The sequence below is a fragment of the Homo sapiens genome, chromosome 12 (genome assembly GCF_000001405.40).
Source record: "Homo sapiens chromosome 12, GRCh38.p14 Primary Assembly".
NCBI lineage: Eukaryota > Metazoa > Chordata > Mammalia > Primates > Hominidae > Homo > Homo sapiens.
The window spans coordinates 42,136,426-42,153,688 of NC_000012.12; the positions used below are offsets into that span (position 1 = coordinate 42,136,426).

The window sequence follows — 17,263 nt, forward strand, 5'->3', positions numbered from 1 at the left end:
TGGGTATGTCTTCACTATACCCATACTGACATTCAAAAGCACTGAAGTCCTAAAAGGGAACTTTTTCACTGTGGATCAAACTGAAATAAAATGTTACTATGGCTCATCCTCAAGTTTAATAAGGCATAAAGCATCTAGCTCTAGGTAGCTTGTCTACAACTGACCAAGGGGTAGCACAAGGTACCTTTGCGGTGATGAAACAATTCTGTATCCTAATCCTAATTTTGGGGGTGGTTACATGTATTTACATGTGATAAAACAACACTCGGCATAATAACATTTGTCAAACTTGAAGTTTACTTAAAACCAATTACAGGAGGTTTTTTATACATACATACATACATACATACATACATACATACAAACAAACACACACACACACAAGTCGCCCAGGCTGGAGTTCAGTGGTGCGAACACGGTTCATTGCAGCCTCAACCTCCTGGGCTCAAGCAATCCTCCCACCTCAACCTCTGGAGTAGCTGGGACCACAGGCGCACACCACTATGCCCAGGTAATTTTTTGTATTTTTGTTGTTGTTGAGAGAGTGTTTTGCCAAGGCTGGTCTAGAACTTCTGGGTTCAAGCAATCCACCCACCTTTGCCTCCCTGCTAGGATTACAGGTACGAGCCACCATGCCTGGTTGTACTTTTAAGTTAAACTAGAAAAAGTAATTTTCATTTCAAAATGTCCAAGATAGGAGGCTTCAGTGAAAACTATGCAAAACTTACCAAAGAGTCAGTGATACGAGATGAGCCTGACCAACATGGTGAAACCTCATCTCTACTAAAAATACAAAAATTAGGCCAGGCGCAGTGGCTCACGCCTGTAATCCCAGCACTTTGGGAGGCCGAGGCAGAAGGATCACAAAGTCAGGAGATCGAGACCATCCTGGCTAACACAGTGAAACCCTGTCTCTACTAAAAACACAAAAAATTAGCCAGGCTTGGTGGCATGCACCTGTACTCCCAGCTACTTGGGAGGCTAAGGCAGGAGAATCGCTTGAACTCAGGAGGCAGAGGTTAAAGTGAGCTGAGATCGCGTCATTGCACTCCCGCCTGGGCGACAGAGCATCTGTTTCAAAAAAAAAAAAAAAAAAAAAAGCGGATCACAAGGTCAGGAGATCGAGACCATCCTGGCTAACACGGTGCGGTGAAACCCTGTCTCTACTAAAAATACAAAAAATTATCTGGGCGTGGTGGCAGGCGCCTGTAGTCCCAGCTACTTGGGAGGCTGAGGCAGGAGAATGGCGTGAACCCGGGAGGCGGAGCTTGCCTTGAGCCGAGATCATGCCACTGCACTCCAGCCTAAGTGACAGAGCGAGACTCCATCTCAAATTGAAAAAAAAAAAAAAAAGTCAGTGATAAATTTAGGCATATTCAGCATAAATATTTGACAGTATGAATGAAGTGCTGCTGCAAAGCAGTAATGCAACTTCAAGGCATGTATACCCTCCCTGTGACTGTGCAAGAAAAGCAAAGATGCTTACGGACACATTAAAGGAGGCCATTCCCATGATACTGCCAAATCACTACTATTTAATTTTCAACTAAATTGTTTCCAAGTCGGGCGCAGTGGCTCACGCCTGTAATCTCAGCACTTTGGGAGTCTGAGGCAGGCAGATCACCTGAGGTCAGGAGTTCGGGACCAGCCTGGCAAACATGGGGAAACCCTATCTCTACTAAAAATAAAAAATCAGCAAGGTGTGGTGGCATGCGCCTGTAGTCCCAGCTACTCAGGAGACTGAGGCAGAAGAATCGCTTGAACCCAGAAGGTGGAGGCTGTAGTGAGCCGAGAGAGTGCCACTGCGCTCCAGTCTGGGTGACAGAGACTGCGTCTGGGTGACAGAGACTGCGTCTCAAATAAATAAATAAATAAACAAACAAACAAATAAATAATTTCTAGACAACTTAACTTCTAGCTCTAAGTAAGATCTTCTTTTTCTTAAATTTCTAATTTCATTAATCCTTGGCAAGTAGGAAAAGGACTGCTTATATATAAATGACACTGAAACAATCATCTACCCATTTCAAAGAATAAGTTAGCATCACACAATATACCTCCTCTACCAGCCCCCAGCTCCCCCACAAAGCTGGATTGATTTAAATCTAAAAAAGGGAGGGGAAAAAAACTGGTAGAAAGCTTTCCTATGCGTAATAAAGGTAAACACGATAAAGTAAAAAGTAGCCAATCTGAAAACAAAAATCATAAACCTCATACAGTACACACATTATGAACAAAATTTAAGTTTATACGTAGGGGAAGTACTTCCAATAGGTATGGCATATAGATAATGATCTTACTGCTTTAAAATAAGATTTTCTAGGCAGGGTATGGTGGCTCATGCCTGCACTTTGGGAGGCCGAGGCAGGTGGATCACCTGAGGTCAGGAGTTCAAGACCAACCAGGCTGGCCAACACGGTGAAACCCCGTCTCTACTAAAAAATACAAAAAGAAAAAAACAAAAAAAGCTGGGCAGTTGGCACACACCTGTAATCCCAGCTACTTGTGAGGCTGAGGCAGGAGAACTGCTTGAACCCGGGAGGCGGAGGTTGCACTGAGCCAAGATCATGCCACTGCACTCCAGCCTGGGCAATGGAGCGAGACTCTGTCTCAAAAAAAAAAAAAGCCAGGTGTGGTGTGCACGCCTGTAGTCACAGCTACTCGGGAAGCTAAGGTGGGAGGATCACTTGAGCCCAGAAGGTCAAGGCTGCAGTGAGCCATGATCTCAGGCCACTGTACTCCAGCTTGGGTAACAGAGTGAAACCTTGTCTCAGAAATAAAAAAAAAAAGATTTCTAAATCAAAAGTACATATTATTTTTTCATCAACCAAGTAACTTTCTCCTCCAAAAGCACAGAATATTTTAATTAATTAATTACTAGTATTTATTAATATGTGTCAGGTTTGGACTAAGAATTTGCTATGGTCTGAATGTGTCCCCTCAAAATTCATATGTTGAAATCTAATTACTAACATGATGTTAGGAGGTAGGGCCTTTTGGTAGATGATTAGGTCATGAGAGCAGAGCCCCCATGAATGGGATTAGTGGGGGGCCTTATAAAAGGGGCCTGCCTCGCCTCTTCTACCATGTGAGAACACAGGGAGAAGGCGCCATCTATGAACCAGGAAATGGGTCCTCATCAGACACTGAATCTGCTGGTACCTTGACTTGGATTTCTAGTCTCCAGAACTGTAAGAAATAAATTTCTGTAGTTTCTAAGCTCTCTAGTCGATGGTATTTTGTTATAGCAGCCCAAAGAAACCAAGATAACCCTTCACAAATATGTAACGTAGATACCACTATGATCCTTCAATGACCTAAAATACAAAGTATAGGGCACTGGTTTTATGTAAGATGTTTTTGCAATAACAAAGCAGAGATTAAAGTGGCTTTAGTAAGTAATTCAACTTTCTTTACTGTTCACTGACTCAACTCTCTTCTTCAAACATAACTGCAGAAAAAAGGGGGGAAAAGGGCTGGGCACGGTGGCTAATGCCTGTAATCCCAGCACTTTGGGAAGCCGAGGTGGGCGGATCATAAGGTCAGGAGATGGAGACCATCCTGGCTAACATGGTGAAACGCCGTCTCTACTAAAAATACAAAAAATTAGCTGGGCATGGTGGCAGGCACCTGTAGTCCCAGCTACTTGGGAGGCTGAGGCAGGAGAATGGCATGAACCCGGGAGGCGGAGCTTGCAGTGAGCTGAGATCGCACCACTGCACTGCAGCCTGAGTGACAGAGCAAGACTCCATCTCAAAAAAAAAAAAAAAAAGGCGGGGGGGGGGGGACTTCACTAAAAACAGTAGTGTGAAAATAGTGCCCAAACTATTCTCAATTTTTGGTTTTATAACAAGCTGGAGCACATATCTAAAACATAAATTCCTGGACCCCACTGCCAGGGCATTTTGATTTAACAGGTCTTAACTGGAGCCCAATGACCAGAATTTTTCCCAGAGGTCAGAAATTGGAAGAAAAAAAAAATCCCAACTTAAAATTTAAATTACCAAAATGATATTAGCTAAAATGTTGTTGTGTCAGGCACCATACTAGGTACTCTGTATCAGCTATTTAATATTTAATTTCAATTCTCACAAACAATATCATACTGTTCTCTCTGATGACGAAAACAAGTTCAAGGTCAACACAGTAAGTGGCAAAGCTGAAGTCTGTCACTCCAAAACTCTTACTTTCTATTCTTTAAGTTCTCAGTATATAACACTAGTATTCCCAGGATCCAGCAGAAATGACAACTCTATGGCCTAACCAGATCTAAAAAAGAAAGTGAAATAATTACCTCCCTGTGTGACAAGGAGACACATAAGGAGACTCCAAGGGCTTGATGGGTCCAGAAACGGTATCACTGAAACATTTAGTAATTTCTTGATTCCCCACTACCAATACTGCTGTATAGCCACAGGTAAAATTTTGATAATCAATGTCAGGACTCATCAGTGAAATATGATAATTTAATCATCCTGAGTAACTAAAATGCAACAAAGTGGTATGAATTAGTGATGTCCGGTAATAACTACTGCTTTCTGTCAAACACCTTAATACAGTCTGTCCACACTGAAGAGCTTGAGTATCTCCTTCTAGAACAGCCACTGCCTATCCAGCATTCCTTCTCCTTTGAGGCACCGCTCCTCTCCAACACCAATCATGTTATTCTGTCTGCCACAGGAATGTGCAAGTGACACAGAGTCAACAAATCAGAGTTCCCCATCCCAAGTAACACTGACTGGTCCACAAACGGGCATGCAACCCAGGCAAGTCCAATGACAGCCTTTTCCTAGGATTTTGTATTTGAGATTAGAGAATAAAACCTGCAAGAACAGAAAAACCCCATGAACAAAGTTTTGTCTTTACTGGAAAAGACTCCCCAGTCCTTAAGGTCCTTTGAGCTGCCCTGCTATCTGCAGTTTTTCCTTCATTTCAAAAACTGTATAAGCCTATAAATATGTTTTGCTTGAGATAGTTTTACTGAATTTTCATCAAAGACAACTAAGAATTCTATTACAAATTAAGTAAGGTAATCTAATGTACAGCCTGATGACTATAGTTAACAAAGTGTACAGTATACCTAAAATGTGCTAAGACAGTAGATCTTTAGTGCTTTCACCACAAAAAAAAAAACCCTATGTGAAGTGATGATATTAACTAGCTTAACTGTGATCATTTCTCAATGTATATGTATGTCAAACTATCAAGTTCTATGCCTTAAACATATAGTTTCTATTTATCAATTATACCCTACTAAAGCTAAAAAAATTTAAGTATTATCTACATTTTACAGGTGAGGAAATTAAAACACAGGCATGTGACACAATTTAGGCAAAGTCTCACAGCAACCAGAGCCAGAATACTGAGAACACGGGTTTATCTGACTACAAGACCCATGTATTTTCTGATTATTAAAATCATGGCTTCAAACAGAATACACTAACGGATAAGAGATTCCACTGAAAAACTGTTCCTTTCATTTTAAAGTTCTTACTTCAAGGACTCCAAGTCTTTTGTCGTCATGAAATTCTATACCATGAATAGTTTTTATAAGATCTGACCAATGGAACTTACTGGGTACAAACCTAGATCCCGTGTTTAAAATAAAAAGAGAGAAATAGTTATAATCTTTCAAGTAAGATGTTATCAAAAAAGGCAAAAATGCAATAATACCTAAGTACTACTGAAAAGAGGAAGCTGCTGGCTTGCCCCATAGCCCCATTGCCCACTGAGTCCACTATCTAAACTAGACCCTTATCTTTCTTTACAGAAAGAGCTCTTGTATAACACTCCAAGGATACAGTTTCTAATCCTCCTCCAACACTGATTTGCTTTGGATCTTGGCCAAATGATTTATACATGAAGAGGTTAGGGATTTCTATACCGTATCTCATGGTGGCCAAAAAAGTTAATTTTTTTTTTTTTTTTTGAGACAGGATCTTGCTCTGTCACCCAGGTTGGATTACACTGGTGCAATCATAGCTCACTGTAGCCTTGAACTCCTGGGCTCAAGTGATCCTCCCACCTTAGCCTCCCAAAGTGCTGGGATTACAGGTGTGAAACACCACATTCAGTTAATTTTTTTTTAATTTTTTTATTTTTTGTAAAGATGGGTTGTTGACGAGGCTGGTGTCAAACTCCTGGCCTCCAGCAATCAATCATCCCCACTCAGCCTCCCCAAATTCTGGGATTACAGGCGTGAGCTACCGAGCGTTGCCAAAAGTTGATTTAATTCTATGACATTTCTATAAAGATGTTATAAATGACGATATACAAAATAGAGTCCTGAGGTCTTAGTAATTTGCGTGATCTTAATCTAACCATAGAGTAAAACTTCACAATCCAACTTTTCCACGTTGTTCCCCTGCCCAAATGGTTTCTTATGCGCGCAAATGTGGTGACATGCTGTTCTTCATCACATTTTTACAAAGAGAGATAAATACACCTATAGTTCTAACTTAGATGTACGCCTCATTTAAAATAAAGAGTAATGCTACTCAAAGGACCTAAAAAAGTACAGTATTTCGGTTGACTCAATCCTGACACATAAAACTTAACGTTTCAGTAATGATTATATTGGATGTTTATTAAAACTGAGGCTATTTTCGAAAATTTCAAATAATTTTATTAAAATTAGCTGGTCAAGCAAACAAAATTTGTAAATTTCTGTCACAAAATAAAATATCTAAGACCAAGGCACTAAAAATGTGATGTTAACATCAGTCTAATTTCATTCAATATTTAATTAAAATGTTGCTTCCTTACAATTCTACCCCATATAAAAATAATTCCTTTTCCATAATTGCAAATGCTTCACAATAACATACTAGGCCATAAACAGTTTAGCTTCAACCTGTCATTTTTCACGAGCTCATTCAAGTCTTCAGTGACTGCTTTCTCCCAGGACAGACAACTGAGGGTCCTGATGTAGGAATTACCCTGACTGTAATCAAATCTCAGGGTAAAAACATGACAAGTCCGCTTTCCACGCTGCTCCTCTGCCCAAACTTTCCCCTTTCATTCTGGGAATGACCATCGACTCTCAAAATGATGTTAAACAACAGCCCACAACTGATCTATACTCCCTCTTCCGACAAACCCTATACTTCTCTATATCAAAGCAGCATTTGCCAAGTCTTGGTAGGGAGCACTTCAGGTCATTCCCAGAGAGATGCCCATACATAAGGTGGAAGTGTCCATGTTGCAAGGCAGTGCAAACGCTCAGATTTCAAGCATTCATAATGCGTTGACAGAAACATTTTTTTTCTATTTAAATCTCATGTTGATTCCCACTCTGGCAGTGATTACGTCCTAAGTCATTACGTCGCTTTTTAAATACCAATTTGTCAAGAAAGGTAACTCCATCCCATCCAACAACAGACTTGAGCACGCCAAGTATCGCTCATTTTTCTTAATTTGCTCTAAGTTTCTTAATAAACTGAGTGTTTCCAAAAGAAAATTTCACAACCCGCACAAATGCCATTTCCAAATTTAACTAACCATGGCTAATACTTAGAAGTGTAAGCGTTAACACAGGAAAATCAGCATGAGGGACAAAATACACACACATATACACTCACACACACACACACAATCCTTAAACACTGAACTAGGGCGCCAGCCTCATGTTTAAATATCTCAACTTGAACTCCACTGAAACAAGAGGAAATTCTCACTAGCCAGGCAGCAGTAAGGCTTTTGTGGACACCTCTTATTTTCAAAGAACCCTCTTTTTAAAAAGTTGAAAATTAATTTCTAACTGCTTTAAAGGGCGCATGACTGGGTCAAAAGATAAACACAGAAAGTGTAGGACACTCTCAGGCGGGAGCAGCGCAGGTTTAGCCCCGGCCGGAGGGGAAGGAGGGAAATGAGTGAGGGGTCAGAGACAGGAGGAAAGACGCGGGAGACGCGGCACCCACCGGCGAGCAGCCCGGGCTAGGCCGAGCCCGCGCCCAGCGCCCCGCGCCCGCCGCGTCCCCCACACCGGGAACTGCCCGTACCTGTCCGACACGCCGGGATGCGCTGCGGGGCCCGCGACGCCGGCGCCTCTCACGGCGCCGCGTCCGCCGCCCGCGAGCCAGGAAGCCACCGCGGCCTGCGGCTTCCCGCCACCGCCGCCCGTTCCTTCTTCCAGGGACACGGCGAGCTGGCTGAAAGCGTAAAGGAGCGAGCAGAAGCCGCAGGCCACACACAGCACCACGACGCGCAGGTAGCGCCGCATCGCCCCGGCCGCGCTCCTCCTTCGCCGCCGCCGCCGCGCCCGCCCCGACGAACTGGAGCGGAGGGAGGGGCACCGCGCAGCCGCGGGCGCAACAAGTTCCTCACCCGCAGCCGCCGCCGCCGCCTTGCGCCCGCTCCCTTCCTTCCCTCCCCGCCCACCACCTAGGCGAGCGCAGTCGCGGCTCCGGAGCCGAAGGACTACCCGCCCGGAAGCCTGGACACCGCCTCTGCCGCCGCGCGCTCAAGGGTCAGCGGCAGCGACGCAACCCCGCCCCTCCCCCGGGCGGGAGGGCTGGACGCGCCGGCGCAGTTCGCGTGGGAGGGACGCAGGGCTGGCGCGCAGAGGGTGGTGTGAGTGCGCGGAACGCGGCGCGCCTGAGGGCTATAGCTAGCGCAGGCCGACGCGCAGGTGAATGGGAGCCCTGTGGGTCTCGACCGCCGAGAGAGGGGGAGCGAAAGCCTCAGGGCTCTGGAGGCAGTTGACCTAAATTCTAATTATGGTCCTTCCACATGGTAGTTTGTGACATTGGGCAACCTAAATTCTCTGAGCATGTTTCTTCGTCCCTAAAATGGAGCTACTATCCTCATCATGGGGTGGTTGTAAAGATTAAACTGTTTAACGCTCGAAAACCGCCTAACACTTAGAAGACACTTGACTAGGCCAGTTTCCTCTCCATCCTCCCCCAGCCTCTAAGTTTCTGTGATACTATAATGTGCACGAGCCATTTTCACCCCGATAAGCTCATTGCTTCGTGTGTTTGGTATGCGGACCTTACCTCTTGCCTCCCAGCAGACAGTGAGTTCCTGTAAGGCAGGGCTCTTCCCTTTGACCTTTTTGACCTCCCTCACAACTCATTATTTTCATGTGCAAAACAATTAGTATTCTCTCCACAGAGCTTCTTTCTTCCCCAGTTCTTCTCCCTCTTCTTCTGTGTTTCCACTACGTTCATTCATTGACCATTTATAAAGCATCACTTGTGCCAAGCTCTGTGTGAGTACCTAGGGGTATAAAGAGGCCTAAGTGGAGCGTGGGTGGGACAGCGGATACTTGTAAATAAGCGCAACGCAGTGATAACAGACTTAAGATCCAGGCCTGTAAGGGTGTGGGCATACACACAAAGGAACAATCAGTTCTATCTGTGAGTATGGTCAAGAGAGACTTCATAGCAAAGGTGGCGCTAGAGTCTTGAGTCGGGTAAGGGAAGTAATTCCAGGCTGAAGGATCAATAAACAGGCTCTTGTGTAGGGAACTGTTGAGAAGTTTGATACCACCAGCTAAGTGAATGCAAGAGAGGGTATGATGAGCGATAAGCGCGTAGAAGGGGCCAGATATTTGAGTGCTTTGTTTAGCACACCAAGGAGTTTGAATTTAATCTGCAAGACATTAGTGAACCATTGAAGGGTTTTTAAATAGGGAAGTAACATGATCACAATTGCATTTTAGAGAGCAGATTCTGGCTGTAGTGTGGAGGCTGAAACAGAGAGAGGAGAGATTGGAGGCAGAAAGCAGCACCAGTGCCAAAAAGTGAGGGAAGGGATACTTAAAAATACACACACACACGAACACACATTCATGGGGAAAAATCATGCGTTTAACTGCTGAAATTGCATCTGGGGCGTTGAAAAGTTTGGCCATGAGATACAAGGTGGGGAAATGCTGCGCAAAATAGTAGCAGTCTCCATTTGGATCCTTGGCTCCCTATACCAAAAAAGTAGTGGTTCTGTGACCATGATAAAGTCACTAAACAAATTTAAGGTTCAACTTCCTCCCCTTCTTGCTTTACCTGATAAAAAATGAACATTAGCATGCTATCAAGATGTGTAAAGAGAATGAGAACATACATTTATGCATTCAATAAACATTTATTGAACATATTCTACATGCCAGACAAGGGGCTCTGATGCAGAGTATTCAGAAATAAAAGGAGTGTACTGCTCTCAAAGGGAAAACAGGCAAATAGAAACCACAAGTATACTAAATTAATACTTCCACTACACCTTACACTTCTTAGAGAAATGAAGATAAACTTAACGAAGTATCCAGAATGATAGGAAAAGCATTGATAAGAATGAAAATACCTTTTGAGAGAAAGCTGAAAGATATGGTACCAAGAAACTAGAGTAAGAGCTAGTACTCAAAAAATGTTTAATTTAAAAGATACTAACTATAACTCTTCTCTATTTCAACAAAGAAACTAAACGTAGTAATAATTAAGAATAACTCCTTGACCCACAGATGGTTAAAATAATGGAATGGCAAAAAGAGAAGGCAAGCAGTTTTCATTTCTGCAACAATTTTATGAAAAGAGCAAATCAGGAAAAATAGCCACTCATTTATTGACGTCAGGGTACTGGACCATATCATCCTTTTAGGTTCCTTCTAATCCTGTAATTTTCTGTTGAAAAATTATATAAACCATTCCAAAAATAGAAATGATTTTTCTATTACTCACACATCATCTTAACTGGCTATCTTGGAGGAGCTGTGTGCATGCTGGCATCCCCTCTAATTATTAACCGGATTTACACGTTGCATTTTGATATTCCTAAAATTAAGTTAATGAAAGCGCTTTAACATATTTGATGTCACAACAGTTAGGTGTTTCTTCCATGTACTGCGTGAAGGTATGTATTCCTAAATCTATTTTTTTCTCTCTATACCAGTCTCTTAATTCTCTAATGATAGACTGATATCCAAATTTTTAATCCATGTTGACCTTCATTCATCGTATCAAATAGGTAAATTTAGGTGGAGAAAAAGTAATTTAAAATTATCAATATTTGTTGTTTAGGAGATAGAGATCTCCATGATCTGGAAAATTCTCTGATTCAGAATTAAGCCACATCTCAATAATTTTATATTTAAAAGATTAATCTTGATTTTTCGTATAGCTCTTAGTACATCCTGGATATATAATAGGCGTTCAATTAATGGGCGTTTTCTTTTTTTTTTTTTTTTTTTGAGATGGAGTTTTGCTCTGTCACCAGGCTGGAGTGCAGTGGCACAATCTCAGCTCACTGCAACCTCCGCTTCTCGGGTTCAAGTGATTCTCCTGCCTCAGCCTCCTGAGTAGCTGGGACTACAAGCGCGTGCGTGCCACCAGGCCCGGCTAATTTTTTGTATTTTTAGTAGAGACGGGGTTTCACCATGTTGGCCAGAATAGTCTCTATCTCCTGACCTCGTGATCCACCCACCTCGGCCTCCCCGAAGTGCTGGGATTACAGCGTGAGCCACTGCGCCCGGCTCCCATTTTCATTTTTTTAAAATGTCTTCTCTAAATCAGTCTAGAGCAGATTTGGGGGCCTGCTCAGCATTTTCTTTACACTTCTACCTTAAGTACTTGATTCCTTAAAAAAAAAGACATGGAGAAAGTTAAATTCTACACCTTTTCAGAGTAAAATTCAAAAACTCTTTTTGCAGGAAAAAAAAAAAAACCTTTTTGCATGACTTCCATTTTATAAAGGTCTATGCATAATGGAATTTAATCCTTGGCTGGGCACGGTGGCTCACACCTGTAATCCCCGCACTTTGGGAGGTGGAGCTGGGAGGATTGCTTGAGGCCAGGAGATCAAAAACAGCTTGGGTAATATAATGAGACCCCTCTTTCTACAAAAAAAAAAAAAAAAAAAAAAAAAAAAAAGTTTAATTTAATCTTTATAGCATTCCTATGAAGTAGGAGATGTTATTCTATTCTAAAAAAAAAACAAAAAAAACAAAAAAAACAAAAAAAAACGAGCCTGATAGAGATGTGACCACAGATAGCAAGAAAAATTTAAAAATAAAAACAATCCCCCCCCAAAAAAAGCAAACAGCCTGAAATTCAGAAATGTTCATTTACCACATGGTTAATAATAAGATCCAAAATTCAGATAGAAATCCTCTAAGATTTCTATTTCTTGTTCTTTTCCATTACGCCATGCTATCTCACTAGGAACAAATAAGCACTAAATGGAGTGGTACAAATTCAAATTGAAAGCAAAAAGGGAACCAATGTTATATGAAAATCTTTCAGACTGATCTTAGAGTCTAAAACAACATTTACAATCAGTGAAATGCAAGTCAGATTAGTAGCAGAGCACAAAGAATCAGAAACTCAGGCTAAAAGTAAAATTCATTCTCTCCGCTAGTGGGCTTCTAGTATATTTCCCCATTTTCCACAGTCCAATTCCTAGAGACTTTGTTGGACTGGAGGAAAAGTTGGAAAATAATGTTTAGTTTGCACAAAAATCTCATTTTATGTGTTCATTCAGACCAGTAACTGTAGGGAAAGAGTCAGAGGAAGGATGAAAGAGTAAAGTGATGCTCTTCATTCTTAAAAACACGTTGCTACAGGCCACAAGAGTAGAAAAAGAAGTAGTGAAAGATTAAAAAATAAATAAATAATTTAAACTGAAAAAAGAAAAGCGGTGGAAAACTAATTAATGAGGATGCCTTAACCTCCTATATGATACCAGAATTTCGCTGACATTTCCATCTACAAGGTAGGGAAAGTGTACAGTGGGCTAGGTGGGAAAGAGAACGAGGAATATCCTCTGGATGTCCCTCTATTTCTCCCTGGTTCAAACTTCAAGAACCCTGCATACCGATTAGTAAAACAGAATATATTATTTTTAAAAAATAGTAACGGCCAGGCGCAATGGCTCATGCCTGTAATCGCAGCACTTTGGGAGGCCAAGGCAGGAAGGTCACTTGAGCTCAGGAATTCAAGATGAGCCTGAGCAACATGGTGAAAACCCGTCTCTATAAAAAATGCAAGAATTAGCTGGGCATGGTGCTGTGCATCTGTGGTCCCAGCTACTCGGGAGGCTGAAGTGGGAGGATCACTTGAGCCCAGGAGGTGGAGGTTGCAGTGAGCCAAGATCACACCACTGAATACCAGCCTGGCTGACAGAGTGAGACTCCATCTCAAAACAAAAACAAACAAACAAAAAAAATTGTCAGTAAAATATAAAGCTAGATTTGTAGGGAAATTTAGTCATGACGAAATTTTGAATTAAAACACCCATAGGCCAGGTGTGGTGGCTTATGCCTGTAATCCCAGCACTTTGGGAAGCCGAAGTGGGTGGATCACCTGAGGTCAAGAGTTTGAGAACAGCCTGACCAACATAGTAAAACCCCGTCTCTACTAAAAACAGTCGGATCAACATAGTAAAACGCCGTCTCTACTAAAAATACAAAATTAGCCGGGCATGGTGGCACATGCCTGTAATCCCAGCTAGTTGGGAGGCTGAGGCAGGAGAATCGCTTGAACCCGGGAGGCAGAGGTTACAGTGAGCTGAGATCGCGCCATTGCACTCCACCCTGGGCAACAAGAGCAAAAAGCCGTCTCAAAAAATTAAAAAATATATAAAAAAAGAAAACACCCGTATGCAAATTCTTGTCATCAGCCAAGTCTCATAATTATAATATTAAAGAACAGACCTACTATTTGATAGCACAACAGGGTGACCATAGCATAATGGTACATTTTAAAAATAACCAAAACTGTATGTAATTGAATCGTTTGTAACACAGAGGATAAATGCTTGAAGGAATGGATACCCTATTCTCCATGATGTGATTATTTTGCATTGCCTGCCTTTATCAAAACATCTCATGTACCCTATAAATATATACACATACTATGTACCCCCAAACAAATTTTTTAAACTTTTAAAAGGAAATAAGCAAAGAAAGCAAGGAAGGAAGGGAGGGAGGGAGGGAGGAAGGAAGGGAGGAAAGAAAGAAAGAAAAGGTTTCAAGACTCTTCTGACCCAGGTTCCCAAACATTGAAGACTGAAAATAATTAAGAATTCTGATACTATCACACTTCTGTCTGATGCTTGGCTGAACTCATAATTCTTATTGTTCCCTCATATTCCTTTCTATACAGAAATTACATCACTAGGTAATCCTGTTATGTTTGGTTTCCTTTATTTTTACATTTATATATTTTATTTTTAATAAAGTAAAAATTCTTTTTTGCTCTCTTTTCCAATTAAGTGAAAGTGTTCCTTAAATTATTTATCTTATTCTTTGCTAGAAAACATAGGCTTTTTTAAAAATTTTGCCTTATTAAAGGCCAAAAAATCCAGCACTTTGGGAGGCCGAGGCGGGCAGATCACAGGGTCAAGAGATTGAAACCATCCTGGCCAACATGGTCAAACCCTGTCTCTACTAAAAATACAAAAATTAGCTGGGCATGATGGCAAGTGCCTGTAGTCCCAGCTACTCGGGAGGCTGAGGCAGGAGAATCACTTGAACCCAGGAGGCGGAGGTTGCAGTGAGCAGAGATCGCGCCACTGCACTCCAGCCTGGCAACAGAGCAAGACTCTGTCTCAAAAACAAACAAACAAACAGACAACAACAAAAAAACTACTTCTCAGGCCTAAGGTCAGATCACTGCTCTTTTCTTCTGGGAACTCAACCTACTTTCTTTTTAAAAGTGCATTCACCACCACCCACTTTCACCACTGTTATTCAACATACTACTGGAAGTCCTAGCTAGAGCAATCAGACAAGAGAAATAAATAAAGGGCATCCAAATTGGAACAGAAGTTGAATTATCCTTGTTTGCAGATAATTATAATCTTACATTTGGAAAAAACCTAAGGACTCCACCAAAAAACTATTAGAACTGATAAACAAATTCAGTAAAGTTTCAGGATAAAAAATCAACATACAAAAATCAGTAGCATTTCTATATGCCAAAAGTGAACAATCTGAAAAATAACAAAAGTAATCCCAATTAAAAGAGCCACAAATAAAATTAAATATCTAGGAATTAAAGAAGTGAAGGATCTCTACAATGAAAACTATAAAACATTGATGAAAGAAATTTAGAGGACACAAAAAAAATGGAGAGATTCCATTTTGATGGATTAGAAGAATCATATTGTTAAAATGTTCATACTTACCTACCCAAAGCAATATACAGATTCAATGCTATCTCTATCAGAATACCAATGACATTCTCCACAGAAATAGAAATAACAATCCTAAAATTTATATGGAATCACAAAAGACACAGAATAGCCAAAGCTATCCTAATAAGCAAAAAGAACAAAACTAGAGGAATCACATTACCTGACTTCAAATTGTACTACAGAGCTATAGTAACCAAAATAGCATAGTAATGGCATAAAAACAGATACATAGACCAAGGAAATAGAACCCAGAGGCCAGGCGCAGTGGCTCACACCTGTAATCCCAGCACTTTGGGAGACCAAGGCAGGTGGATACTTGAGGCCAGGAGTTAGAGACCAACCTGGCCAACATGACGCAACCCATCTCTACTAAAAATAAAAAATTAGCTGGGTGTGGTGGTGCACACCTGTAATCCCAGCTACTCAGGAGGCTGAGGCACGAGAATTCTTGAACCCAGGAGGTAGAGGTTGCAGTGAGCCAAGATTGCACCACTGTACTCCCGCCTGGGTGACACAGTGAGATTCTGTCTCCAAAAAAAAAAAAAAAAAAAGAATAGAAAAGAAAAGAGAATCCAGAAACAAGTCCACACAGCTACAATGAATTCATTTTTGACAAAGGTGCCAACAATATACAATGGGAAAAGACAATCTCTTCAATAAATGGTGCTGGGAAAACTGGATATCCATATGCATAAGAATGAAACTAGACCCCTATCTCTCACCGTATACAGAAATCCAATCAAACTGGATTAAAGACTTAACTCTAAGACCTCAAACTATGAAATTACTAAAAGAAAACATTGGGGAAAATCTCCAGGACCTTGGTCTTGGCAAAAATTTCTTGAGTAACACCCCAAAAGCACAGGCAACCAAAGCAAAAATGGACAAATGGAATCATATCAAGTTGAAAAGCTTCTGCACAGCAAAGGAAACAACAACATGAGGAAACCCACAGAATTGGAGAAAATATTTGCAAACTACCCCTCTGACCAGGGATTCATAACCAGAATATATAAGGAGCTCAAGCAACACTCTGTAGGAAAAAAAAATCTAATAATCCAATCAAAATATGGGCCAAATGTTTGAATAGACATTTCTCAAAAGAAGATGTACAAATGGCAAACAGGCATATGAAAAGGTGCTCAAGATCACTGATCATCAGAGAAATGCAAATCAAAACTACAATGAGATATCATCTCACCCCAGTTAAAATGACTTTTATCCAAAAAACAGGCAATAACAAATGCTGGCAAGGATGTGGAGAAAAGGGAATCCTTGTACATTGTTGGTGGGAATGTAAATTAGTACAACCACTATGGAGAACAGGTTGGAGGTTCCTCAAAAAAAAAACTAAAAATTGAGCTACCATAGTATCCAGCAATCCCATTGCTGGGTATATACCCAAAAGAAAGGAAATCAGTATATTGAAGAGATATCTGCACTCTGGTGTTTATTACAGCACTGTTTACAATAGCTAAGATTTGGGAGCAAAGTAAATGTCCATCAACAGATGACTGGATAAAGAAAATGTGGTACATACAAACAATGGAGTACTACTCACCCATAAAAAACATGAGTTCCAGTCATTTGCAACAACATGGATGGAACTGGAGATGATTATGTTAAGTGAAATAAGCCGGGGTCAGAAAGACAAAAATCCCATGTTCTCACTTATTTGTGGGATCTAAAAATTAAAACAGTTAAACTCATGGAGACAGATAGTAGAAGGATGGTTACTAGAGGCTGGGAAGGGTAGATGGTGGGGGTGGTGAGGATAGTTAATGAGTACAAAAAAATAGAATGAATAAGACCTTCTATTTGATAACATAATTGTACATTTAAAAATAACTAAAAGAGTATAATTGGATTGTCAGTAACACAAAGGATAAATGCTTGAGGAGATGGATACTCCAATCTCCATGATGTGATTATTATGCATTACATGTCTGTATCAAAACATCTCATGTACCCTGTAAATATATACACCTATGTACCCACAGAAATTAAAAATTAAAAAACAAAATGTGTTCACCGTCATTTTCTTTGTCCTTTAGAAGTCTTCTCCCAAACTAGTTTTATAACCTTCCAACTCTTCCCATTCTTGCTGACTCCAAAAGTAAACACAGGACCATTTTAT

The 17,263-nt window shown here is 41.0% G+C and overlaps 1 protein-coding gene across 2 annotated transcripts in view, besides 3 other annotated features; it reads right to left on the minus strand.

Moving 5' to 3' along the window:
• GXYLT1 (glucoside xylosyltransferase 1) overlaps positions 1–8,449 on the minus strand; it is a 63,030-nt gene extending 54,581 nt beyond the window's left edge. For both annotated transcript variants that reach the window (NM_001099650.2, NM_173601.2), the window contains exon 1: positions 8,001–8,449. In NM_001099650.2, coding sequence (NP_001093120.1) covers positions 8,001–8,221 — 221 coding nt within the window. In that variant the 5' untranslated portion in view covers positions 8,222–8,449. The remainder of the gene's footprint in view (positions 1–8,000) is intronic.
• Positions 7,837–8,066: a silencer, noted in NCBI's record as "silent region_4357". NCBI's record gives its function as "represses an Ori minimal core promoter by ATAC-STARR-seq in GM12878 lymphoblastoid cells {active_cell/tissue: GM12878}" and the evidence as "EXISTENCE:reporter gene assay evidence [ECO:0000049][PMID:35858748]".
• Positions 8,147–8,646: a silencer, noted in NCBI's record as "silent region_4358". NCBI's record gives its function as "represses an Ori minimal core promoter by ATAC-STARR-seq in GM12878 lymphoblastoid cells {active_cell/tissue: GM12878}" and the evidence as "EXISTENCE:reporter gene assay evidence [ECO:0000049][PMID:35858748]".
• Positions 8,807–8,876: an enhancer, noted in NCBI's record as "active region_6209". NCBI's record gives its function as "activates an Ori minimal core promoter by ATAC-STARR-seq in GM12878 lymphoblastoid cells {active_cell/tissue: GM12878}" and the evidence as "EXISTENCE:reporter gene assay evidence [ECO:0000049][PMID:35858748]".